General features: G+C 44.5%; 1 protein-coding gene across 5 annotated transcripts in view, besides 3 other annotated features; it reads right to left on the bottom strand.

Moving 5' to 3' along the window:
* The window catches only part of SFI1 (SFI1 centrin binding protein), a 122,450-nt gene that overhangs the window by 26,415 nt on the left and 69,811 nt on the right, over positions 1 to 26,224 (bottom strand). For 3 of the 5 annotated variants that reach the window (NM_001007467.3, NM_001258327.2, NM_001258326.2), the window contains 7 exons: positions 18,960 to 19,116; positions 16,782 to 16,943; positions 13,722 to 13,792; positions 11,810 to 11,902; positions 8,202 to 8,299; positions 7,040 to 7,106; positions 2,597 to 2,727 (listed from right to left, as the gene is read on the bottom strand). In NM_001007467.3, coding sequence (NP_001007468.1) covers positions 2,597 to 2,727; positions 7,040 to 7,106; positions 8,202 to 8,299; positions 11,810 to 11,902; positions 13,722 to 13,792; positions 16,782 to 16,943; positions 18,960 to 19,116 — 779 coding nt within the window. The remainder of the gene's footprint in view (positions 1 to 2,596; positions 2,728 to 7,039; positions 7,107 to 8,201; positions 8,300 to 11,809; positions 11,903 to 13,721; positions 13,793 to 16,781; positions 16,944 to 18,959; positions 19,117 to 26,224) is intronic. The other 2 variants (NM_001258325.1, NM_014775.4) reach the window with 1 other exon arrangement.
* Positions 341 to 1,150: an enhancer, noted in NCBI's record as "NANOG-H3K27ac hESC enhancer chr22:31987010-31987819 (GRCh37/hg19 assembly coordinates)". NCBI's record gives its function as "activates a minimal SCP1, AML or CMV promoter by ChIP-STARR-seq in naive H9 embryonic stem cells {active_cell/tissue: H9 hESC(naive)}" and the evidence as "EXISTENCE:reporter gene assay evidence [ECO:0000049][PMID:30033119]".
* Positions 9,563 to 9,782: an enhancer, noted in NCBI's record as "active region_18863". NCBI's record gives its function as "activates an Ori minimal core promoter by ATAC-STARR-seq in GM12878 lymphoblastoid cells {active_cell/tissue: GM12878}" and the evidence as "EXISTENCE:reporter gene assay evidence [ECO:0000049][PMID:35858748]".
* Positions 11,997 to 12,291: a silencer, noted in NCBI's record as "tiled region #2577; K562 Repressive non-DNase unmatched - State 23:Low". NCBI's record gives its function as "represses a minimal TATA promoter and a strong SV40 promoter by Sharpr-MPRA in K562 cells {active_cell/tissue: K562}" and the evidence as "EXISTENCE:reporter gene assay evidence [ECO:0000049][PMID:27701403]".

Here is a 26,224-nt window from a genome sequence, read left to right as displayed (position 1 = left end):
GCCTGGCCAGCCGCCCCGTCTGGGAGGTGAGGGGCGCCTCTGCCCGGCCGCCCCTACTGGGAAGTGAGGAGCCCCTCTGCCCGGCCAGCCGCCCCGTCCGGGAGGGAGGTGGGGGGGTCGGCCCCCCGCCCGGCCAGCCGCCCCATCCGGGAGGGAGGTGAGGGGGTCGGCCCCCCGCCCGGCCAGCCGCCCCGTCCGGGAGGGAGGTGGGGGGGTCAGCCCCCTGCCCGGCCAGCCGCCCCGTCTGGGAGGGAGGTGGGGGGGGTCAGCCCCCCTGCCCGGCCAGCCACCCCGTCTGGGAGGTGAGGGGCGCCTCTGCCCGGCCGCCCCTACTGGGAAGTGAGGAGCCCCTCTGCCCGGCCAGCCGCCCCGTCCGGGAGGGAGGTGGGGGGGGTCAGCCCCCCCGCCCAGCCAGCCGCCCCGTCCGGGAGGTGAGGGGCGCCTCTGCCCGGCCACCCCTACTGGGAAGTGAGGAGCCCCTCTGCCCAGCCAGCCGCCCCGTCCGGGAGGGAGGTGGGGGGTTCAGCCCCCCGCCCGGCCAGCCGCCCCGTCCGGGAGGGAGGTGGGGGGGGTCAGCCCCCCTGCCCGGCCAGCCGCCCCGTCCGGGAGGTGAGGGGCGCCTCTGCCCGGCCACCCCTACTGGGAAGTGAGGAGCCCCTCTGCCCGGCCACCACCCCGTCTGGGAGGTGTGCCCAATAGCTCATTGAGAACGGGCCAGGATGACAATGGCGGCTTTGTGGAATGGAAGGGCGGGAAAGGTGGGGAAAAGATTGAGAGGTCGGATGGTTGCCGTGTCTGTGTGGAAGGGAGTAGACATGGGAGACTTTTCATTTTGTTCTGCACTAAGAAAAATTCCTCTGCCTTGGGATCCTGTTGATCTGTGACCTTACCCCCAACCCTGTGCTCTCTGAAACATGTGCTGTGTCCACTCAGAGTTAAATGGATCAAGGGCGGTGCAAGATGTGCTTTGTTAAACAGATGCTTGAAGGCAGCATGCTCATTAAGAGTCATCACCACTCCCTAATCTCAAGTAACCAGGGACACAAACACTGCGGAAGGCCGCAGGGTCCTCTGCCTAAGAAAACCAGAGACCTTTGTTCACTTGTTTGTCTGCTGACCTTCCCTCCACTATTGTCCCATGACCCTGCCAAATCCCCCTCTGTGAGAAACACCCAAGAATTATCAATAAAAAAATAAATAAATAAATAAATAAATAAATAAAAAGAAAAAAGTTGGAATATAGAAAAGCCAGTAGTAAAACTAATCAAGAAAAAGAGAGAAGCAATTCAAATTTAAAAATATATATAAAAATAAAAATAAAATAAAAAGAGAAGGGGAAATGGACACATTCTCTTAAAAACTTGAAACGCTGGCCGGGCGCAGTGGCTCACGCCTGTAATCCCAGCACTTTGGGAGGCCCAGGCAGGTGGATCACCTGAGGTCAGGAGTTCGAGACCTTGCTGACATGGTGAAAGCCCCGTCTCTACTAAAAACACAAAAAATTAGCTGGGCATGGTGGCAGGCACCTGTAATTCCAGCTACTCAGGAGGCTGAGGCAGGAGAATCGCTTGAACCCGGGAGGCGGCGGTTGCAGTCAGCTGAGATCACACCACCGCACTTCAGCCTGGGCAACAGGAGTGAAACTCTGTCTCAAAAAAAAACTTGAAATGATTAATTGACATAAGAATTAGAAAATCTGAATAGCTCAACAGCCAATTACCAAAATCTGAATAACCCTTTGAGGTAAGCACTATTACTCCCCCACTGCAGAGATGAGAAAACTAGAGAATTGGTCATTTGAGTACCTTGGCCAAGGTCACAGAACAGAGCCAGGATTTGAACCCAAGCAGTCTGATTCTGTGACTTCTCTCTACTCCATGGTGGTGGATTCTATGTGTCAACTTGACTGGGCCACTGGGTGCCCAGATTAAACAGTGTTTCTGGGTGTTTGCAGATGAGACAAGCATTTGAATCTGTGGGCTCAGTAGAGCAGACTTCTCTTCCTAATGTACGGGGGCCTCAGCCAACCCCTTGAGGGCCTGAGTAGAACAAAAGGAGAAAGAATCTGCCCCTTTTGCTTCCTGCCTGCCTGCGTGGGCAGATCTCATCTCATCTTCTCCTGCCCTTCAACTGGGATTTACACCTCGAGGCCCCTTGGTTCCCAGGCCTTTGGACACAGACTGGAATTGCACTACCCACTCTCCTGAGTCTCCAGCTTGCAGATGGCAGGTCATGGAACTTCTCAGCCTCCATAATAGTGTAAGTCAATTCCTCATAATAAGTCTCTTCATGTATATGTTAACTTGACTAAGCCACTGGCTGTTCAGATTAAACACTACACATTTTTTTTAATAAATACATATATACACACACACAAAAAAAATAAATAAATAAAGATGGACAAAAGATTTCCCAGGGGAAACACTGTCTTGTCTTTTCCTGCTAGATGAAATCAATGAGCCCACATTACTGAAAATCCAGGAAGTACTAGGGCCTGGGGTCTGGGAAGCTGAAAAGCACAGCAAATGGGCTGTGTGGTTGTCAGAGTTAGATTTGAAACACCTGCCCCAGTGCAGACAGGAGCTGCGCAACATACCTGTGGAAACGTGTTGCTCTTGCACTGAGGACATTTTCCTGGTGGCGCCATCGCCAGAGTCTGTTCCATGTGTGGAAGGCAGCAGGCAGGGCTCTCTGCTGGAAATGACCATCCGCTCTGGCCTGTAGCAGCTAAAGTAAAAGAATGAATAACCTTTGTACTTAACTTTTTTTTTTTTAAACATGACCTCTCAGGGTCACACCCTTGTGGGAGGATTGCTTCCTATATAATAAAAATGAGAAAAAGATGAATCATTATTTATTATCTTTGCCAATATGCTAGGTGAAAAATGAAATAGGATAGGTAAAAAAATTTTCACTTAAACATTAGTTAAACATTTCTACACACACACACACACACACACACGCACACACATACACACACTCTCACTCACTCTCTCTTCCCCCTGGCTTAGGTGTTCATACCCATTACCTGTTTCACTGTCTGTTAGCATTTGACTCAGTGATATGTATGGGGTTTTTGAACCTAAACAATTTATTAGTCCTTTGTCATGTGTTATAAATCTTAAATATTTCCCCACCCCATAATATATCTTTTGATTTTGTTTATAGTGTTTGTCATACACATTAATGTAATTATAAAAGTCTACTATTTTACTGATACATCAGTAGGAAGACAGACAATGGACATAAGAATATACCATATATGTCTCCATGATCCAAAACTTTGGGGGGAAAAAGCATATATGCATGTATAGAGGTTTTATGTTTTTGTTTTTTTTGTTGTTTTTTGTTTTTTTTTTTTTGAGACAGAGTCTCACTCTGTTGCCAGGCTGGAGTGCAGTGGCACAATCTCAGCTCACTGCAACCTCCGCCTCCCGGGTTCAAGTGATTCTCCTGCCTCAGCCTCCCGAGTAGCTGGGACTACAGGCGTGCGCCACCACGCCCAGCTAATTTTTGTATTTTTAGTAGAGACAGGGTTTCACCATGTTGACCAGAATGGTCTTGATCTCTTGACCTCACGATCTGCCTGCCTTGGCCTCCCAAAGTGCTGGGATTACAGGCATGAGCCACCGTGCCCAGCCCAAATGTGTAGAGGTTTTAAAAACATGGCTGCAAATTATTTGCTCCTCCTTCACTGAGAAGTGATCTATGTTCCCTCCCCTTGAATCTGGCTGGGATAGTGACTGCTCTGACCAATAGCACATGGTAAAAGTGGCACTGTGTGAGTTCTGAGGCTATACAAAGAGCCACAGAGCTTCTGACTTGTTCACTGGAACACTCATTTTGAAGCTCTGATAGCTGACTACCCCAAGGCCACCATGCTGTAAGGAAGCCCAAGCCTCACAGAGAGGTCATACACAGGTTCTTTGGTTAACATTCCCAGTTGAGCCCAGTCTTTGAGTCATTCTAATCCAGGATCTAGATGTGTGTGAAGAAAACGTCTAGATAATTCTAACCCCTTGCCATTAGAATCTTTTCAGTTGAGGCTGATCTTGGAGCAGAAACCAACCATTCCCATTAAGTCCTGTCTCAATCTTTGATAATCCATAAAGCATAATAGAATGGTTGTTGTCTTATACCACTGAGTTTGGGGTGATTTTTTACATAGCAATAGATAATTGGATCAGTATGCATATGTATGTGTATGTGAATAGATAGGTACATACACTCCTACCCAAACAGAGGAAGAGAGATACCAGGCTTACCCATCAAATGTCATGAATGGTTTTATTTTTTCTTCTTTATATCTTTTTATACTTCCTAAATTTTCTATAATATCTACACATTGCTTTTCTATTTTTTATTATGGGCATTTTCAAATGTAAACAAAAGTAGAAGCCGACAGTATAATGAATACCCATGACCCTACCATCAAGCTTCAACAGTTAGCAAACATTCGCCATTCTGCAAAGAGCCATCCTTTGGTATTTGTGGGGGACTGGTTCCAGGGCCCCTCTCAGATACCAAAATCCATGGATACTCAAGTATCTTATATAAAATGGTATAGCAGGCCGGGTGCAGTGGCTCATGCCTGTAATCCCAGCACTTTGGGATGCTGAGGCAGGCAGAGCTTGGGAGTTTGAGACCAGCCTGGGTAACATGGTGGCACCCCACCTCTACAAAAAAAAAAACAAAACACAAACATTAGCTGGGCGTGGTGGCTTGCACCTGTAGTCCCAGCTACTTGGGAGGCTGAGGCAGGAGAATCGCTTGAGCCTGGGGAGAGTGAGGCTGCAGTGAGCCAAGATCATGCCACTGTACTCCAGCCTGGGTGACAAAGTGAAACCTGTCTCAAAAACAAAACAAAACAAATAAATTGGCATCTGCATATAACCTACACAGTCCTCCTGTATGCATCTCTAGATTACTCATAATACCCAATACAATGTCAATGCTATGTACATAGTTGTTATGCTATATTGTTTATATATTGTTTAGGGGCTAATGACAAGAAAAAAAGGTCTGAATATGTTCAGTACAGACACAACTACTCTTTTTTTCCTCTGAATATTTTTTATCCATGGTTGGTTGAATCTATGGATGTGGAACCCACAGATACAGAGGGCTGACTGTATGTTACTTTTTAAAAAGGAAGAAACCCACAAAAAATAATATTTTTATCTTGTCTAAGAATAGAAAGATCTGATGTGCTCCTGGGATACCTATACCAAGAGGTGATATTCAGATTGTTAGCTAAAGGTTTAGGAATGACTAAGCAGTGCTCTTCCCATTTTTCAGACCCGCTATACCTTTGAAAGCAGGCCGTGCTAGATCAGTGTGAGAGATGAAAACGCTGACCCTGGACTGTCCGCCAGTGTTGGGCCCCTGTGTCAAGGGGAGTGCTCGTTTTCCAGGAAGGAAATAAAAGAGACCCTCTGCTCTCCACCTTGAATAAATACAACCTTTCAACTCTGACACTCATAGTCTTTTTCTGAAAGGCTTTCCTGCATTCTGGTGAACTTGTATTACATGAACTTAAGATAACAAGTGGCAATGTCTTTTCAAAGCCAGTAACATAATCCAAAGGCATGTCAAAGAATGCAGTGACTCTAGCATTTCTTAAGTGTAGGAGGCAAGAGTGACGCAAAAAGAGGCCATGCCCTGTAGCATCCAAGCTCTATCGACTTAGATCATCCTTGGAAAAAAACTCTGAAGAAATCAACAGCAGTTCATTTGTTGGTCTGTGCATTAATTCATCCAAATATTAGCACATATCCCATGCCAAGCACTGTGGGCTAAGGAGGCAAAAGGGACAGGCTGTACTCTAAAGGACTTCACAGCCTGTGGGGAAAGAGAAGCCAGTGAACAACTATAAGATGAATGTTCTGATAAAGCTATGCCTCTGGGGTAGGGGTGGAGGTGGACTGGCCTGGGGGAGGAGGTGACATCTGAGCTGGAAGGGAGTGTGAAATAGAGAACTGGAGGTACAAAGAGAAGCAGGAGGGCACAGAGGACCTTTAGGGAACCACTGGCAGCTTAACTGGTCAGAGTGCAGTTGTGAAGGAACAGAGTGGTAACAGGAAAGGGGAGAGAAACAGACAGGGACCAGCTCCCGAAGGAGTTTGTAGGCCTTGCTAAAAATTTGGATTCTATCCCCAAACTATAGGGAACTAGCTAACAGGTGAATCTAAAGATTCACCTGTTAGACTCCAACAGAAGATGGAGGTACGGGTAGGGTGGGCAGCACGAAAATAACTGGGAGGAGTTTGGTTTGTGTCTTCCTCTGTTTCACTGCCAGAGATGACCAAAAAGGGGGCACTTCTCACAATGGCAGATGCCATCAACTGAACCCTTTCCCACTGAGTGTAAATATGGCCTTGAAATCCTTCTCACTTCAACATTCCAGACAGGTACTCCCAATTGGTAGAACGGGCTTGTAAGGTCACACTCATTTGTCACCCTGGTGCTAAAGTATGAGCCCTGGGAGAGCAGGAATTTTATTGACTTTATATCACAGTTGTATCCTCAGTGCTTAGTGCAGTGTCTGAAGAACAGCAGTTGCTCAATAAGTATTTCTTAAATGGAATTGAATCTATCTTTCTCAATCTGCCTTTACTTATTTGTGGTCCTGACCTCACATCCTCCACCCCCGGGAGACATGTGTCTCACACTGTTTAGCACTGGGATGCAGCACTTATGCTCTGCACCTCTCCCTGTACCTCTTGCAGGTCCCACTGGGTGAAGGGCTGGCTAACTCAGAGACTAAATGAATTTGAGTAAAGATGTGAATGGCTGATAAGAGCTCAGTACTTTCAGAGAGAACTTGTATTTTCATAGCAGATAAGAAATGGGAGTTATGCAGACTTTCTGATATTAGAGGTGGGAACTGGAAGAAATGACTTTGAGCTTTTTCAACACCCTCTCTTCCAAAGCAGAACGATAAGACTTCTTGGCATAGGTCTTTTCCAAGAATCTTTCCAAAGCAAATGGGTCCAAGAATGTAAGCCAGTAGAGCTATCTGCTAAAAAGTACTCCATACCTGCTTGTACCGCCTCTTCTGAGTATACTGTAGCCACAATTCGATACATTTGCACAGCAGTGCTATTCTGAAACAAAAGGAAGAACACCTTCAGGTTTCAAGTTTTTAAAACTTTGTTTTAAGGCAGGTAAATTGCGGTACAGTTACTTCCTGTGAGTTAAAGGCACCCCATGGGCTTACTAGTTTCATTCTAGGAGAGACGGCAATAAGAACCTGATATCTAATATAAAATTTGTCAACCTCTGATTTTGGACTGTGGATTGCCTAAAATGTTGCAACTTTCTTGTAAAACCTAATTAGACCACCGAAAGCACAGTAGCTCTGGAATTTAGGAAATATGTGTGAAATCCCCTAGATATCCTGAACTTTCTGGTTTCATGGCCAAACGCTGGGGGTCCACGACATGTTGCCTCTCACACTAGGTTTTGTAAACCAGGGTTTGGAATAATATGCCTTGATAACTCTAAATGAGTCAGTTTATTATTGGGATTCTCACTAACTCATTAAAAAATGCTTCAAAATTGGAGCTAAACTATGCAAATTAAGTTGATTATACTGTGGGGAGAGGAAAAAAGGAGGGCAAAGAAAGGAAGGACATATTGAACATTTCTGGCAGCAAGAAAGTTTATACGTAGTGCTTCCTTCTGAGGAGTAAGATCTTACTCTTACTTGTAGGGAGGGGGCCAGGCAACTTTTATTTTTCCCTTTATACTTTCCACCCTATACATTCTGAGTTTTCCTCACAGAAATGTAGTGTTTTTATTTATTTAACTGAATGACTAGCTCTAAAATATTGAGGACATTCCCTGCACACTTTAAGACTGAGTCACAAATGTCCCTGACCCTTCTCTTTAACACTAGCAATGCATGAATTCTAACTTGTGAACATATTGATGCCTGTAGGACCAAGGCAGTGAGCGACCAGGCACATACTTCAGACTATGGTGGCCAAGAACCAATGCAAATATGCTCATTCTATCTCCCATCTGATCAGCCAAAAACCCAAAGTCAGGAACAAATGGTTTACAGCAGGACCTCCACCCCAGCAGGCCTTTCTGAATCTGCCACACTAACGCATAGAAGGGCAAGCAATTACTCCTGGAAAACAGTAAGTCAGAGGCACAAAGTCCCTGAGAGCCAGGGATGAAACCAGAGTCCCTACCTGTAGTGGTCCCAGGCAGCATGCAGTAAGGGGAGCAGCTCTCTTTCCTTTTTCTGCTCAATCTGAGACCGCCAGAGGTTCCAGAACCTGTGCAGCAGCTAAAGCAAGGGAGGAAGAAGATGGAAATGTACTGAGATGAAAGGTAAAACAGTGAATCCTTACTCCAACAGACTGTGAGCTCCCCCAAAGCAGAAATGACCTCAGTTAGGAGCAGCCAACATACAGTGGGCATACAAATTAATGAGGGCTCAACTATAGAGCTATTCTGGGCCAACATAAAAGGCAAAAAGATGGTTCTTCCAGTCTATGGAAATTAGATGAAGAAGCTATTCCTAATCCCACAGAAGACAATGACATTTTAGAAAGCCATTTTAGAAATTAAAACTGATTTTAATGCATATTCCCACCTATGAAGTAGTCTCGCATAAATGTTTAACTTCAATCTAAACAAGCCCTCAGATGTAACGATTATAGGAACCATGTAGACTAAAGGAAAATTAAATGATATAAATGATATCAAAAGGAAACAATCAGATAAATCAATAACATAAAACACTGGGCTGGGCGCAGTAGCTCACACCTGTAATCCCAGCACTTTGGGAGGCCAAGGCGGGTGGATCACCTGAGTTCTTGGGAGTTTGAGACCAGCCTGACCAACAGGGAGAAACCCTGTCTCTACTAAAAATACAAAATTAGCCGGGCGTGATGGCACATGCCTGTAAACCCAGCTACTTGGGAGGCTGAGGCAGGAGAATCGCTTAAACCCGGGAGGTGGAGGTTGCAGTGAGCCGAGATGGCACCATTGCACTCCAGCCTGGGCAACAAGAGTGAAACTCCATCTCAAACAAACAAACAAACAAACAACAACAAAAAAAATTATACAAGGCTAGGCATGGTGGTATGCACCTGTAGTCCTAGCTCCTCAGGAGGTTGAGGCAGGATATTCTCTTGAGCCCAGGAGGATGAGGCTACGATGAGCTACAATCACACCATTGCACTCTAGCCTGGATGACAGAGTGAGACCCTGTCTCTAACAATAATTATTATAATAATAAATAAATTGTATAAACAAAATAACTGGCCTGTCCTTTTTTAAAAAAAGGCAGTCATTTTAAAAAGTATACATTATGCTAAGTGAAATAAGCCAGTTGCAAAAGGACAAATACTATATGATTCCACCTATGAGGTCTCTAGAATAATCTAATTTATAGAGACAGAAAGTAGAATGGTGGTTTCCAGGGGCTGAGGAAAGAGGAAATGGGTACAGAGTTTCAATTTTGCAAGATGAAAAAGTTCTAGAGATGAATAGTGATGATGATTGCACAATGTGGATGTACATGTCACTGAACTGTACACTTAAAAATGGTTAAGGTGATAAAGTTTAAGTGATGTATCTTTTACCACAATTAAAAAATATAATAGGCCGGGTGTCGTGGCTCACGCCTGTAATCCCAACACTTTGGGAGGCCGAGGTGGGAGGATCACCAAAGGTCAGGAGTTTGAGACCAGCCTGGCCAACACGGTGAAACCCCATCTCTACTAAAAATACAAAAATTGGCCAGGCGTGATGGTGTGCGTCTGTAGTCCCAGCTACCTGGGAGGCTGAGGCAGGAGAACAGTTTGAACACGGAAGGTGGAGGTTGCAGTGAGCCGAGATCAAGCTACTTACTGCACTCCAGCCTGGGCGAGAGCGAGACCCGGTTTCAAAAAAAAAAAAAAAAAAAAAAAAAAAAAAATATATATATATATATATATATATATATATAAAATGTAATAAAGAAGTGTTGTTGGGGGAAGGAAAGTTCTAGATTAAAAGCTTTAAGAAATATAGCAACAAAATCCATTTCTGCTAAAAATCAATCAGAAAAGAACCAAATGGAGTTAGTGATCCTTAACTGCATTCTGGTTTGTAAAAAGCAGCTACAAATAAGACATTTTTAAGACAACTATGGAAATTTGAATGTTGACTAGATATTAATGTTAGGGAATCACTGTTACTTTTCTTAGGGATGATAATGACATTGTCGTTACATAAGAAAATGTCTCTGAGTGACGCATGCTGAAATATTTAGGTGCAAAGTGTCATGATGTCTATAATTTACTTTGAAATTATTCAGCAAAAAACAATGAGGCAAACATAGCAAATATTAACAATTACTATATCCAGGTAGTGACTATATAGAGGCTTATTATACTTTTTTTTCCTATTTTTCTGTATGTTTAAACATTTTTCATAAAATAGTAACAGGGAAAAAAATCCTACACCAAGAAAGTAGAGACAATATATGTTGGCATCAAGTAAACAAACCATTGTTTTATAATGGACTTACAATGGAAGTGAATAGACTTACAATAGAAACACAACCAAAGCCTCCTATTGGGGCCGGGCATGGTGGCTCATGTCTGTAATCCCAGCACTTTAGGAGGCCGAGGCAGGTGGATTGCTTGAGGCCAGGAGTTTGCGACCAGCCCAACCAACATGGGGAAAAACCCGTCTCTACTAAAAATACAAAAAAATTAGCTGGGCTTGGTGGTGCACACCTGTGATCCCAGCTACTTGGGAGGCTGAGACATGAGAATCGCTTGAACTTGGGAGGTGGAGGTTGCAGTGAGTTGAGATCGCACCACTGCAGCTGCACACCAGCCTGGGCAACAGAGCAAGACCCTGTCTCAAAAAAAAAAAAAGTATATTTGGGCCAGGTGCGGTGGCTCACACCTGTAATCCCAGCACTTTGAGAGGCGAAGGTGGGCAGATCACTTGAGCCCAGGAGTTTGAGATCAGCCTAGGCAACATAGTAGGACCCCATCTACAAAAAATACAAAAATTAGCTGGGTGTGGTGGCTTACAGCTGTAGTCCCAACTACTTGGGAGGCTGAGGCAGGAGGATCACTTGAACCTGCAGTGATCTACTGCACTACAGCCTGGGTGACAGAACAAGACCCTGCCTCTAAATAAGTAAAGAAAAAAAGAAAGTATTTGTATCACTATATCCCCTAGGTCAGGTTTAAAATCCACAGTCCCTGAACTTTGAGTCAACTATCCATTTCTTGGCAAATAGATAAAAAAATGGGATCAAACAAGTTTTTCTATCAGCAGGTATGGATTACCAAAGAAAATGCAAACTAAAAAGGCCGAGCATGGTGACTCACGCCTGTAATCCCAGCACTTTGGGAGGCTGAGGCGGGTGGATCATCTGAAGTCAGGAGTTCGAGACAAGCCTGGCCAACATGGTGAAACCTCGTCTCTACTACAAATACAAAAATTAGGAAGGTGTAGTGGCGCATGCCTGTAATCCCAGCTACTCAAGAGGCTGAGGCAGGAGAATTGCTTGAACCCGGGAGGCGGAGGTTGCAGTGAGCTGAGATCGTGCCACTGTATTACAGTCTGGGCAATAGAGAAAGACTGTCTCAAAAAAAAAAAAAAAAAAAAGAAAAGAAAAGAAAGAAAGAAAATGCAAACTAAGGTTTTACAGTTGACAGTCTGGACAAATCTTGAAGCACAAAAAGTTTTTTTAAAAAGAGTTCTGCTTAATTTGGCAAGACTGAAAAAAAGAGCGAGAGAGAATGGCCTTCAGAAGAGGTCCCTTGATACAGAAGACAACCCTCACCGTGACACCATGCTGCTGGTGAGCAAGATTCCTTCTTATTTGCTGGAGATGAGCGTGGGTCACATTGTCTTTTAGGGCTCTAAAGCAAAAATACTGTGCAAAGAAAGGACACAACTGATTACAAGGACTGGGATCAGTAGAGTCTGTAAACTAAGAGTAGAGGAAGGCAAACAGTGCCTCAAATCAGCGGGGAGAAGCTTGGTCACAGCTTCTTGTAGCTGTTCCATCTCCCTGAGTGTTTCTCTGCTTTGAGATTCAACTGGGAGCCTAACACAAGCCAGCCTGCACAGCAGGCACTTAATAAATATTTGCTGAACCCTCCCTGCTGTCCATCTATACTGCACAAGAACAAACACACCCACACCAGGAAAGAACCCCATGACCCACATGACAATTCTACAGACCAAGGTAAACATCAACTGTTGCCTCTCAGGAGAAGACAGACTTTTTGTCTGTGGTGGTTTTTGTTTTTTTACCATGTGGGCTCAGTGCATACATTTGTATGATTATAAATGCAGTGCTGCTAAAATGGAAGAAGGAATCTTTAGTGAAAGGAAGGGTTGGAGTTGGGCCAGGATGGACCTGGATCCAGCTCCATCAATAATGCCTAAAAGGCCAGGTGCAGTGGCTCACACCTGTAATCCCAACACTTTAGGATGCTGAGGCAGGAGGACTGCTTGAGCACAGGAGTTCAAGACCAGCCTGGCCAACAGAAGGAGACTCCGTCTGTATAAAAAAACTAAAAAATTAGGCCGGGCGTGGTGGCTCACGCCTGTAATCCCAGCACTTTGGGAGGCCGAGGCGGGCGGATCACGAGGTCAGGAGATCGAGACCATCTTGGCTAACATGGTGAAACCCCGTCTCTATTAAACATACAAAAAATTAGCTGGGTGTGGTGGCAGGCACCTGTAGTCCCAGCTACTCGGGAGGCTGAGGCAGGAGAATGGCGTGAACCCCGGAGGCAGAGCTTGCAGTGAGCCAAGATAGCACCACTGCACTCCAGGCTGGGTGACAGAGCGAGACTCTGTCTCAAAAAAAAAAAAAATCTAAAAAATTAGTTGGGCATGGTGGCATGTGCCTGTGGTCCCAGCTGCTTGGGAGGCTGAAGTGGAAGGATCACTTGAGTCCAGGAGTTCAAGGCTGCAGCAAGCTATGATTTTAACACTGCACTCCAGCCTGGGTGACAGAGGAGACCCTATCTCTAATAATAATAGTAATGATAATAATACTAATGCCTCAACACTGGGCCTGGTGGCACATGCCTATAGTCCCAGCTACTCAGGAGGCTGAGGTGGGAGGATTGCTTGAGCCCAGAAGTTTGAATCTAGCCTGGACAACATAGTGAGACCGCATCTCTAAAAAATAATAATAATGCCTCACAAATTGGCTAAGCAAAGCTGATTTGCCCATACTTCCCCATGCCTTAGGCTTCAATTTTCTGAGACAGAAGTGAAGATATCAGACTGGATTAGGGGTTTTCGTACTGTGCTTTGTGGAGCCCCAGAGGCTCCTGAAAACATATGAAGACCACCTCGTGTAGCAAGGGAAGGGAAGAGTAGCAGGTAGAACAGGGACGGACTCCCTGACGTGCTTCAACCACAGCATGGCTACTTTGACCTATTTTATAGGTGAGGCTTCCGCCACTCAAAAGGGGTTTTACCATGTAAAAAAAGCTCAGGACTAAATAATCTCTGAGGTTCCTTTACAGCTCCATACCCCTCTGACCCTACAACATTAGCACCTGTAATCCAAAATGAAAAGAAGGACACCCACAATGAAAGGAGGGCTTCATGACCAAAACTCACCCATAGCTGACTGCATTTAATGAAGGTGATAGGGGTCAGGGTCCCCCAAGAGTGGATACCCAAGCAAGGCTGCCAAGCGGACCCGTGCCAGGATGCAGGGCTCTTACCAGCTGGCTGTGCCTGTGGTGCTCTTCTGCCATCTCAAACTGGGCAGCTTCTTCTGCACACAGCAGCATGTCTGCCAGGAAGTGAAGGCCTCCAGTCCCAACAAGGTTCTGACCCCTACACAGTGCATTCTCAGCAAGCCACCTTGAAGGGCCGTGGCTATCGGGGATAACACACGTGCCAGGTGGGCTGAGGTCCACCTCTGTCTACTCCTGATGACCCAGGGAAGCAGTGGGCAAAGGGAAACCCTGTCAGTTACTGATCAAACATCTGGTCTTGCATTCCTCCCCTTGAATGCCCATGAGATGAGACGCAAAAAATACCTGAGATAAACTGCTATCAATTTCAGTAAACATTTAGAAATCACCATATCTAAAGCAGAATCTGCTCCTTTTTCTATAGTCTCTGTTTTGGCATCACAATCCAGTTAGATATTTGAGCTAAAAACCTTGGAGTTATTTTCAAACCTTTTCTCCTCCCACTCTCATCTAATCGGTCGCCAAGTCCATCTGTTCCCTTCCTAAATCTCTTGGCTCTCTCCATCCCCTTCTGCTCTTCTGTCCCCACCCCCAACACCCTGCAGTTCATCCAACTCGTCCCTTACGTAGACTGGTAAGTGAGCCTCCTCCCATAACTGGTCTCCCACCAGTGCTAGCCTCTCTCCGCTAATCCAGAATTATCCTTTCCAAAGCACAAATCTGACTGCACTTCTTTTCTTTTTTAAGAGACTGGGTCTCACTCTGTCACCCAGGCTGTAGGGCAAGGGTGCCATCATAGTTCACTGTAGCCTCAAACTCCTGAGTTCAAGCGATCCTCCCAAAGCACTTGGATTACAGGTGTGAGCCACTGCCCCCAGCCTCTTCTCTTCTTAAAAACCCCTGAAGCCGGGTGTGATGGTGTGTGCCTGTAGTTTCACCTACTTCGTAGGCTGAGGGGGGAGGATTGCTTAAGCCCAGGAGTTCAAGACTGTAGTGAGCTACCATTGCGCCTGTGAAAGCCACTGCACTCCAGCCTGGGCAACATGTGACCCTGTCTCTAAATTTTTAAAAGTTAAAAAACCTCCAGAGGTTCCTGCATCTACCTTCCCACCATCCCTACCTCCACAGCCCACTGGATTCTTGAATGCTTTTCCTCACTGAAATGCCTTTTCCAACCTTCTGCAGTCTTCCCCTAAGACATCAACCTTCCCAACTTCTCATCTCCTATGACTTAGACTCTGCACAAACATTACCTCCTTGGCTGAATCTCCACAGTCGCTCTCACAGGACTTCATACAAATCTTTATGATAGGAATTATCATGCCATATTTAAAGACATATTTTCATGTCTATTTCCCCCACTAGACAATGAACTATCATTAGTCTGAGCTTCCTCATATCCCAGAATTTAAGCAGGAGTTTATACAAAGCAAGACTTTGATGAACAAATAAAATGTGTGGATGAACATCCTAGGCAGTCCAAATTCTCACACTTGGGCACACAGTATGGTAGGGGTAGTGATTAAGAATATGGCTGGGTGCGGTGGCTCAGGCCTGTAATCACAGCACTTTGGAAGGCCGAGGCGGGCAGATCACCTGAGGTCGTCAGGAGTTTGAGACCAGCCTGACTAACATGGAGAAACCCTGTCTCTACTAAAAATACAAAAAAATTAGCCGGACATGGTGGTGCATGCCTGTAATCCCAGCTACTCGTGGGGCTGAGGCCGGAGAATCGCTTGAACCCGGAAGGCAGAGGTTGTGGTGAGCCAAGATTGGGCCATTGCACTCCAGCTTGGGCTACAAGAGCGAAACTCCATCTCAAAAAAAAAAAGGGAAAAAAAAGAGTTTATACATAGAGCTGGACGCGGTGGCTCACGCCGGTAATCCCAGTACTTTAAGAGGCCGAGGCAAGTGGATCACTTTGGGTCAGGAGTTCGAGACCAGCCTGGCCAACATGGAGAAACCCCATGTCTACTAAAAGCACAAAAATTAGCTGGGCATGGTGGTGGCCGCCTGTAATCCCAGCTACTCAGGAGGCTGAGACAGGACAATCACTTGAACCCGGGAGGCAGAGGTTGCGGTAAGCTGAGATGGCACCACTGCAATCCAGCCTGGGTGACAGAGCGAGACTCTGTCTCAAAAAAAAAAAAGAGGCTGGGTACGCTGGCTCATGCCTGTAATCCCAGCACTTCGGGAGGCTGAGGTGGGTGGATCACCTGAAGTCAAGAGTTCGAGACCAGCCTGGCCAACATGGCGAAACCCCGTCTCTACTAAAAATACAAAAATTAGCCAGGCGTGGTGGCACATGCCTGTAATCCCAGCTACTCGTGAGGCTAAGGCAGGAGAATCGCTTGAACCTGGGAGGCGGAGATTGCAGTGAGCCGAGATTGTACCACTGCACTCCAGCCTGGGTGACAGAGCAAGAGTCCATCTCAAAAAAAAAAAAAAAGAATATGTACACAGGAGTTAAAGGCCTAGGTTTTGAAAATCTTGACTCTGCCAATGACCTGTGACTTTAGAATACACTCAGCTCCTCTGAATCTCTTTCCTCGTCTGTAAAATGGTAATAGTGGCACCTACTCCACAGCGTTGCTATGAGGATGAAGAGGATGATGCATAATGTCTGCTACGTAGTAAAAGCGCAATAAATGGAAACTATGATCACGGTGATGGTATCACCAAGAAAAAGATAGTGGTGGCTATTTCCACCACCTAGTGGGTAGAGAAAAGCACTTAAATTGTAACACCAAAAAATGTGAATCAGGAAAGTGGGATTACCTCTGAGGGAAAAGAAAAAGAACGCAGTCAGGGAGGAGCAAATAGGTGTGCTAGGAAGGTTCTATTTTGAAAGTTGGGTGATAAGATATATAGTTGTTCATTTTATTATTTTTAAACTATATATAAGCACTCTTTTTATACACAATCCCAATTAAACAAAAATTTTAAGACTGTCAACAGAGATAAGGCTGTTTTGAATCGTTTGGCAATTGTTTCCCATGTATCTCATGACTTTCGTTTCACATGCTGCTGAGCTCATGCTGTCCTGGCTGAGGCAATGGACAGCCTGAGTATCTGAAAGGATACAGTGTTTCCAGTGAGTAAAGGCGCGCCGCAGGGCCATCTTCCTGGCCAGTTTCTCCACCTGGGCATGGTGAGCGTACAAGCTCTCCCTCCGCTCCCAGGCCTGCTGCCAGTCACAGAAGTATATCTGGAGCACAGTGACATGATGGAATCGCTCAGCCATCTCTGCAACAGAGAAATAACTTAAGTGCTACTCCCCTAAGGTTAGATGAGCTGGAAACATCTTTAAGACAAGCTGAACCCCACTACTGGCAGAGAGCAGGGGTTCAAGGCCACACACACACACACACACACACACACACACACACACGCACTAAGTTTTTTTTTTTTTTTCTTTGAGTTGGAGTCTCGCTCTGTTGCCCAGGCTGGAGTGCAGTGGCGGGATCTCGGCTCACTGCAACCTATGCCTCCCAGGTTCCAGCGATTCTCCTGCCTCAGCCTCCCAAGTTGCTAGAATTACAGGCATGTGCCACCACCCCTGGCTGATTTTTCTGCATTTTTAATAGAGATGGGGTTTCACCATGTTAGCCAAGCTGGTCTCGAACTCCTGACCTCAAGTGATCCGCCCGCCTCAGCCTCTCACAGTGCTGGGATTACAGACGTGAGCCACCGCGCCCGGCCAAAATACAAGTTTTTTAAACCTTGAAAGGTCATTAGGAATCCCTGAGCTACATCTCCTCTCTCCAAGGAAAGAGAAAAGGTCTGTGATTTTAGGGAGGAGGATGCTATAAAATCAGTTACATCAAAGGGCTGAGGCTTCTAGTTAGATACTGATGAACAGAAATGAAAACTGTTACTTTCAAAAAGGACTGTTTTACTTTTGCTTCTAAACAAATGTCTCCTGGATAGGACTTAGAGATTGAGTCAATGACATAAAATTCAGTTGCCACGCTGGCATAGGCTTTTTTGAGCTTTCAGCCAACCTGATCCTGGCTGCCAGCTTCATCTCCTTTTAATGCTAGTCAGATAATGGTCTGATGAGCTAGGGCCTGGGAAGGGGATGGGAATCAGACCTGGAATTTGAATGCTGTAATTGGAGGCAGGCATTAGTCTATAGCTTATCATACTAAACAGCTTAATGCCTTCACATTCCAGGACTGGGCAACTGGACTGTTGGTCTGGGGTCACTATCCTCCAATGAACATATTCAAACTCTCCCAAGAGACAGTGTTGGCAGCGTAAGAGATTTCTGCAGGGAGGTTTGGGTGAACGCCAGAGACCCTTAACCCAGTGTCTAGCACAGTGCTTGACTTACTTTGGTATAAACTCAATAAACTTAAGTTAAAAAGTGTACTAATGTTCACATTTCTATGTATTATTACTTCTGAATCTAATTGGGAAACAAAACCATATAAACAGTATCCAAAAAACTCAACATCAAAATCACATGCATTTGCATAACTGGAGACAAACAGAAACTATCCAAATATCTATTAATAGGAGAATGGCTAAGTATATTAAGGTAAGCCATCCTATAAAATATGAATAGTTGTTAAAAAATAACATTTACGACAAATACTTAAGATGTAGGGAAGTGTTGATTAACTGTGTGGAAAAAAGGAAGATACAAAACCATAGGTTATCAACATATTAATCAAAATAATTACAATACTTATAGCAAAATGAAAACCCTATTTAGATAAAAAATATACAGAAGAGGCCGGAAACAGTGGCTCACGCCTGCAATCCCAGCACTTTGGGAGGCTGAGGCAGGCGGATCACCTGAGGTCAGGAGTTTGAGACTAGCCTGGCCAAAGTTATGAAACCCCATCTTTACTAAAAATACAAAAATTAGCCGGGCGAGGTGGTGGGCACCTGTGATCCCAACTACTAGGGAGGCTGAGGCAGAAGAATCACCTGAACCCAGGAGACGGAGGTTGCAGTGAGCCGAGATTGCGCCACTGCACTCCAGCCTGGGTGACAAGAGCGAAACTCCATCTCAAAAAAAAAAAAAAAATCTATCTACAGATAGCTAGATAGATATAGATACAGATATATAAATAAAAGCCCAAAGAGAAATAAATGTGACTCAAGGATGATGTATTTTCCTCCTTAATCTCCTTTTACCAAAATTTCTGGAGTAGCACCATTATATTACTTCTTAGTACAGTACCACTGGCAGCAGGAGAGTGAAACTGTGACCAGATCCTCTATCTCGAGAGCCTGGAGCTTCCTACTCACCATTCTGCTGTCTCTTCACTCTGCGGACTTGCAGGTATTCAAGCCAGGCCTTTAGAAATCTCCGTTTTTGCCAGTGCTGATGATGTTTCACTGCAGAGACAACCTTTTGTTTCTCCTTCTGGACATACAGGAGCTGTTCCCGCCACTGTGACCAAGCCTGAAAACCAGAGAAGAGGCAACAGTCAAAGGAGAGGCAGGAAAACAGGGTGAAGTACAGGTGGAGAGGGAAAAGAGAAAGGCACACACGCTGGAAAGGCTGAAATTAGAAACAAGGAAGTGGCAATCCCCTAGCAGGATGATAAGCTATGGGACCGTGGGGTAAAAGGGTCTTTAAGAGGGACATTCTGCTTTCAAAAGTAATTTTTTCCTGGATTAAAAAAAAGAAGAATAAAATCAACAAGCAGAAAGCAGATGGCTGGTGCAGTGGCTCTCGCCTGTAATCCCAGCACTTTGGGAGGCCGAGGAGGGCAGATCACCTGAGGTTAGGAGTTTGAGACCAGCCTGCCCAACATGGCAAAACCCCGTCTCTACTAAAAATACAAAAAATTAGCTGGGCGTGATGGTGGGTGCCTATAATCCCAGCTACTCAGGAGGCTGAGGCAGGAGAATCACTTGAACCCAGGACGTGGAGGTTGCAGTGAGCTGAGATCACACCACTGCACTCCAGCCTGGGCGACAAGAGCGACCAACTCAAAACAAAAACAAAAACAAGCAGACAAGGAGCAGAAACAATCCGAGGGGTGATATAATTAATTCAGATTTGGGATAAGTGAGGGTCTGCCTTTTCTTCCAAAGTCAGAGGAAGCCTACTGTAAAGTAGTCCTTTTTCAGGCAGATTAGTTCCAGGGATGCCTATATATAGAAGCTAAGGGTCTACAAGGGTCTATAAATGCACACCCTTAGATCAGTGATAATGCATGTCCTAATCTGAAGACGACTTAGACAAAGACTTCATATCTTTTCTTCAGCCTGTCGCACCTCTCCTTTCCCTCCTCTCAACTGAATACCATCGTTCCCATTTCACTAAGAAAATAAAAGCAATCAAAAGGAAATTTCCTTAAGGTCCACCATGTTTAACTACCCACCTGCCCACGGGCTCTGTCTTCTCTCTTTCCTGCTACTCTGGATGAACCGCCCATGCTCCCACCAACGTCAGTCCCCTCCCAACCCTGTCCAGCTCTGGCTATCTCTCACCTTCCCGAGTTTACTGCCTTGGCAGTTCCCCTCTTACGAATCATCAGTTTTCACTCTCTATAGATTTTTGAAATCAGCATATCAATGTGCTATTATTTTTCCTATCCTAAAAAAAAAAATCTTCAAGATGTAACAACTAAAAGCAATGGGTGACCTTTAATTAGACTATGGAAATGAAAATAGCAACAATATACAGTTTTAATATGAACTGCATGTTATATATTATATCAATATTAAATTTCTTGGAATATAATAATGATATTATGGTTATGTGGGAGACCATCCTTTTTAGGAGATATACACTTTAAGATAAACTTTGTGTCTACAATTTTAGAGCAGCTCAGACAAAATAAATGTATTTATATACTTAAAGAAAGCAAATGTGGCAAGATGTTAACAATGGGTTGGTGGGGCGGGGTGGCTCACACCTGTAATCTCAGCACTTTGGGAGCCCAAGGCAGGAGGATTGCTTGACCTCAGGAGTTTGAGCCCAGCCTGGGAAACATGGCGAAACTCTGTCTCTACCAAAAAAAAAAAAAAATTAGCCAGGCATGGTGGTGTGTACCTGTAGTCCCAGCTACTTGGGAGGCTGAGGTGGGAGGATCGCTTGAGCCTGGTAGGTTGAGGCTGCAGTGAGCAGTGATCATACCACTGCACTCTAGTCTGGGCAACAGAGTGAGACCCTGTCTCAAAAAAACCAAACCAAACCAAACCAAAAAACCACAATCGGTTAAACTAGGTGAAACACAGACAGTATCCACCTTTTCTATGATTTGGTGTTTGTCAGTAATAAAAAGTTGTTGGGGAAAGACTGCCATCACAAAAATACTTTCTGAAAGGAATAAACCAGTGATTCTTAAACAAACAAAGCAACACCCCTCTCTAGACTCTAGACCGCATTGTGCCATCCAGCTAACACTTTGGTTCTTTCTGTTTCAAGCTCCTCAAAAGAGCTATTTTCTAATCTTTCTGTCTCCCAGGCAGGCTTTCTTGAGCCCGCTCCCACAGGCTTACTGAATGAAACTACTCTTATCAAGTGCATCGGCAATCTCCACATCGCTCAATCCAAAGGTCAGATTTTGGTCCTCACCTCCCTTGACCTGCCAGAAGTGTCTGACAAAGCCTTCCTCCTTCCTTCACCTGGCTTTCGGGATGTGTCCCTGCTTTGTTCCTGTTGCTGACTCCCACCTCTGTGCACCTCGCAGGCTCAGCCCTGGAACCTCTCATCTAGCTACACTCACTCCTTTTATTTTTTCACCCACCCTAGTAGCTTTTTTTAAAAAAACAGATGGGGTCTCTCTATGTTGCCCAGGCTGGTCTTGAACTCTTGGGCTCAAGCAATCCTCCCGCCTCAGCGTCCCAAAGTGTTGGGATTTACAGGCATGAGCCACCGCACCCCGCTCACTCTAGTAACTTTACATACCATCTGCCTACTAAGAACTCCTGAATTTCCCAAATGTACCTCCCATCCTGGCCCCATCCTCAGTATTCCACACATATATCCCAATATCCCACTGCCTCCTTAACATAGCTTCTTGTGGCTATTCAAAAGGCCTATCAGGCTGAAGATAGAGTCCAGAATTGGGCTCCTCCTAATCTCTTCCCACAAACCTGCTTCTCCTGCAGTCTTTCCTATTTCAGTAAATGGCACTCCATTGTTCCAACTGCTTAGGCCAAAACTTGGAAGTCATCTTGGACGCTAAAACTTCGTATCTCATCCATACATCTTTTAAAGATGTCAGTTACATCTTTTAAAGACATTGAGAATCCAACCACCGTCTTCTTATCATCTTTGTGGAAAATCTCACCTGGAATTTTGTAATAGCTTCTTACCTGTCCTCCCTGTTTATATCCTTGATCATCTCTGATTTATTTATTTATTTATTTATTTATTTATTGACAGAGTCTCATTCTGTTACTCAGACTGCCAGACTGAAGTGCAATGGCAAGAATACGGCTCACTGCAGCCTCAACCTCCTGGGCTTAAGCAATCTTCCTGCCTCAGCCTCCTGAGCAGCTGGGACCACAGGCATGCACCACCATGCCCAGCTAATTTTTTTTTTTTTTTTTTTTGAGATAGGTTCTTGCTCCATTGCCCAGGCTAGAGGGCAGTGGTACAATCATAGCTCACTACAGCCTCAATTTCCCGGACTCAGGTGATCCTCCCACTTAGCCTCCTGAGTAGCTGGGACTACAGACACATGCCACCATAACAGGATAATTTTTTGTATTTTTTGTAGAGACAGGGTTTCACCATGTTGCTCAGGCTGGTCTCAGATGCTAGGGCTCAAGCTGTCCCCCCGCCTTGGCTTCCCAAAGTGCTGGGATTACAGACATCTGCCACCACGCCTGGCTCTGATGTACTCCTAACACAACAGCCAGAGTGGTCCATTTTGGTTCGCTTTAATTGTTAGGTCACTTAAAGTTCTGTTTTATATGACAACTTCCCTTCCTGCTTTTTTTCTCTTTCATGCCATCAATCTACTAGAGAAATCAAGTCATCTATCCTATAAAATGTCCTACATTTTGGATTTGGCTGACTGTAACCTCGAGGTGTCTTTAACTTGTTCCTCTGACCCCTGTATTTCCTATAAACTGAGAGATTTGCATTAGGCTTGGAGTCATGTTCAATTTTTTAGGCAAGAACAGTTCATGAATGTGGCTGGGTACTTCCCCTTACATAGTATCATGAGGCACATCATGTCTGGCTGCCACAGTTGTAGCAATGCCAAGATTGTTTGGTGGATTCAGATGGCAGGTAGCCAGATTTCTCCTATATTTTCCCACCATCCTCTCACCTAGTGATGGCTTCCTAGATCTATGTCCTCATTAGGGGTGGCAAAACAGCAATTTTCTAGTTCTAGTATTCCTTCAGCATTTATTAACTGGAATTCTTCTATAAAGAAGGCTTCTCTCTCATTAACCCTCTGGTTTCTTGGAGTTAACAGTTTATATAGGAAAGGTGGGATAAATGCTTAATTTTTTGCCTTTAATTTTTAAAGAATTAAAATGCTTTAATTTTTAAAGAATTTAGTTAACTCCCCTAACAACCCAAAATCATGACCGATGAGTTCCACTTTCTTTGAAAATTATTTCAAATGCATGAATTTTTATGTATTTGATGTTTTCAATCTACTGGGCTCAAGTGATCCTCCTGCCTCAGCTTCCTGAGTAGCTGGGACTACAGGCACCACTATGCCTAGCTTATTGTTTTTTGATGCTCAAACTTTTCTATCTTAAGCCCTGGGAACCCTTCCAAATTGGTTCCTGAGTCCTTCTGACACAATTCCATTAGCTTTTGTTAAGTTCCTTAGTCCTAGGTGTATCTTGTCTATTTCCTGCCCCGGACCTATAATCAGCCATTTCTCTAAAAAGCCCTGGTTCCTATTAGTGGGAAATAGTTAAGACCACAACTTGGGCACTGGGGATACTAAATGCTATATTACTGTCACTGCTTCTAATGCTTTTTTTTTTTTTTTTTTTTTTTTTGAGACAGGGTCTCACCCTGTCGCCCAGGCTGAAGTGCAGTTGGCACAATCTCAGCTCACTGCAACCTCTGCTTCCTGGATTCAAGTGATTCTCGTGCTCAGCCTCCCAGGTAGCTGGGATTACAGGTGCCCACCACCACCATGCCCGGCTAATTTTTTTGTATGTTTAGTAGAGACGGGATTTCACCATGTTGGCCAGGCTAGTCTCGAACTCCTGACCTCGGGTGATCCACCTGCCTCTGCCTCCCAAAGTGCTGGGAGCCATCGCGCCAGACCAGAAATGCATTTATGGTAAAAAAAAAAAAATATATATATATATATACACACACACACACACAACACACACACACACACACACACACACACATATATATATAGAGAGAGAGAGAGTCCATATTGATATTTACAGTTCCAATTGCAGATTTCTTTGCTTTTTATACTTGTAATCTTTTCTTTTCTATTGAAGATCTTTATTCCTAACAACACTGCCATAATTATTTGCTTTATCTTACAATGTAACTATAATACTTTCAATGTAACAATTTCAAACCTCCTAGCAACAATAACACTTGTTTTACTAAGAATGTGGTTTTAGATTTCTTAGCAGTTCATTACGTCCTTTTAACACATTCCACCAGGGTGAACAGTCAAAATATTGTATTTTAAAGTTACTTGAAGTAATTATTCTCTGTGTAGTCATTGCCACAAACTTGATATGTTCGTTTCAGTTTGTTTTGAAAATCTGGCAATTGTTTTTTTATTTACTCTTGCTTTGTAATTATATAAAATATATGCATAGTTCCAAAGTTAAAACTATGTAACAAAGTAAATTCACAGAAGTACTTTATTCCTATACCCTTCTCTCCCTCCTCCTATAGGTAACCATTTTTTGGTAAGTTTTTCATTTATTTTTCCATTATTCCTTCTTGAAAATATAAGCAAACAGACACACACACCCCCCCCCTCCACAAACACACAGACACACATTCATATATATCCTTCCCTTTCTTACCCCAAAAGCAGCACACTATGAATCAAAGAATCCTGTTAAGAGGTAGGTATAATCATGTCACTCCTCTGCTCAGAGCCAGCAGCTCTTCACCTTCCCAGGAATAAAAGTCAAAGCCTTTTTTATCAGGCACAGCCTGCCAGGCCCTGCGTTCTGGCTCCCTGTTACCTCATAACCTCATCCTTCCTACTCTCCTTCTCAAGCTCAGCAATATATTATGAGATATATCAAATTCAAAGATGAAATGACTCAATATGACAATTTTTCTAACCTAATAAGCTGTCAGTCAGTACATTGTAATAAAAATCCTAATAGGCTTGGCCAGGTGCGGTGGCTCACGCCTGTAATCCCAACACTTTGGGAGGCCGAGGTGGGCGGATCATGAGGTCAGGAGATCGAGACCATCCTGGCTAACACGGTGAAACCCCGTCTCTACTAAAAATACAAAAAATTAGCCAGGCGTGGTGGCAGGTGCCTATAGTCCCAGCTACTCGGGAGGCTGAGGCAGAAGAATGGCGTGAACCCAGGAGGTGGAGCTTGCAGTGAGCCGAGATCGCACCACTGCACTCCAGCCTGGGTGACAGAGTGAGACATGTCTCAAAAGAAAAAAAAAATTCCTAATAGGCTTTGTTATAGAACTTGACAAGTTGCTCCTAAAATTAATAAGAAAGAGTACAGAAGAACAATTAAGACAAGTTTAAAAACAAAACAAGAATAAAGGAGATTCTCTGTCAAATATAGAGCCTTGAGAACTATATGTCAAGTAGGAATATAAACAGCTAGCATTTACTGAGCATTTCCACATTCCAGGCATTGCTCTGAGTATATTAATAACTGGATCATCCTCCTGAAGCCTCAATAATCTCATGAGGTAGGTACTATTACAATCTACTTACAGATAAGAATTCTGAGGTACAAACAGATGAAATAACTCATTCAAAGGCACAAAGCTAATAGGTGATAGAGGCAGAATTCCACTTGGACAGTCTGACTCAAGAACCTACACTGTTGCTTACTGCTTCATCAAATCGTAACTAAACCAGTATGGCATTGGTATGGTCTGGATAGACAAATACATGAATGGAAGACAGAGCCGAGAAACAGATCCGTGAATAATTAAAAGAAACTGGGGGCCGGGCATGGTGGCTCACGCCTGTAATCCCAACACTTTGGGAGGCAGAGGCAGGCGGATCACTTGAGGTAAGGAGTTCAAGACAGCCTGGCCAACATGGTGAAACCCCATCTCTACTAAAAATACAATAATTAGCTGGATGTGGTGGAGCACACCTGTAGTCCCAGCTACATGGGAAGCTGAGGCAGAAGAATTGCTTGAACCTGGGAGGCGGAGATTGCAGTGAGCTGAGATTGTGCCACTGCACGGAGTCTCAAAAAAAAAAAAAAAATAGAAAAAGAATGCTCTTGGTAGTACTGTTCGTAATTCTAAAAAGCAGAGGAAGTCAACAGTCCATCAGTAAGTAAGCAGATAAATGGTGCCTTGTTTATACAATGGCATAATATACACAGTTAATAGATCTCTGTCTATCCACATAGATAGGGCCAGGCATGGTGGCTCA

The sequence above is a fragment of the Homo sapiens genome, chromosome 22 (genome assembly GCF_000001405.40).
Source record: "Homo sapiens chromosome 22, GRCh38.p14 Primary Assembly".
Classification (NCBI taxonomy): domain Eukaryota; kingdom Metazoa; phylum Chordata; class Mammalia; order Primates; family Hominidae; genus Homo; species Homo sapiens.
This window is presented reverse-complemented; position numbering and strand designations above follow the sequence as displayed.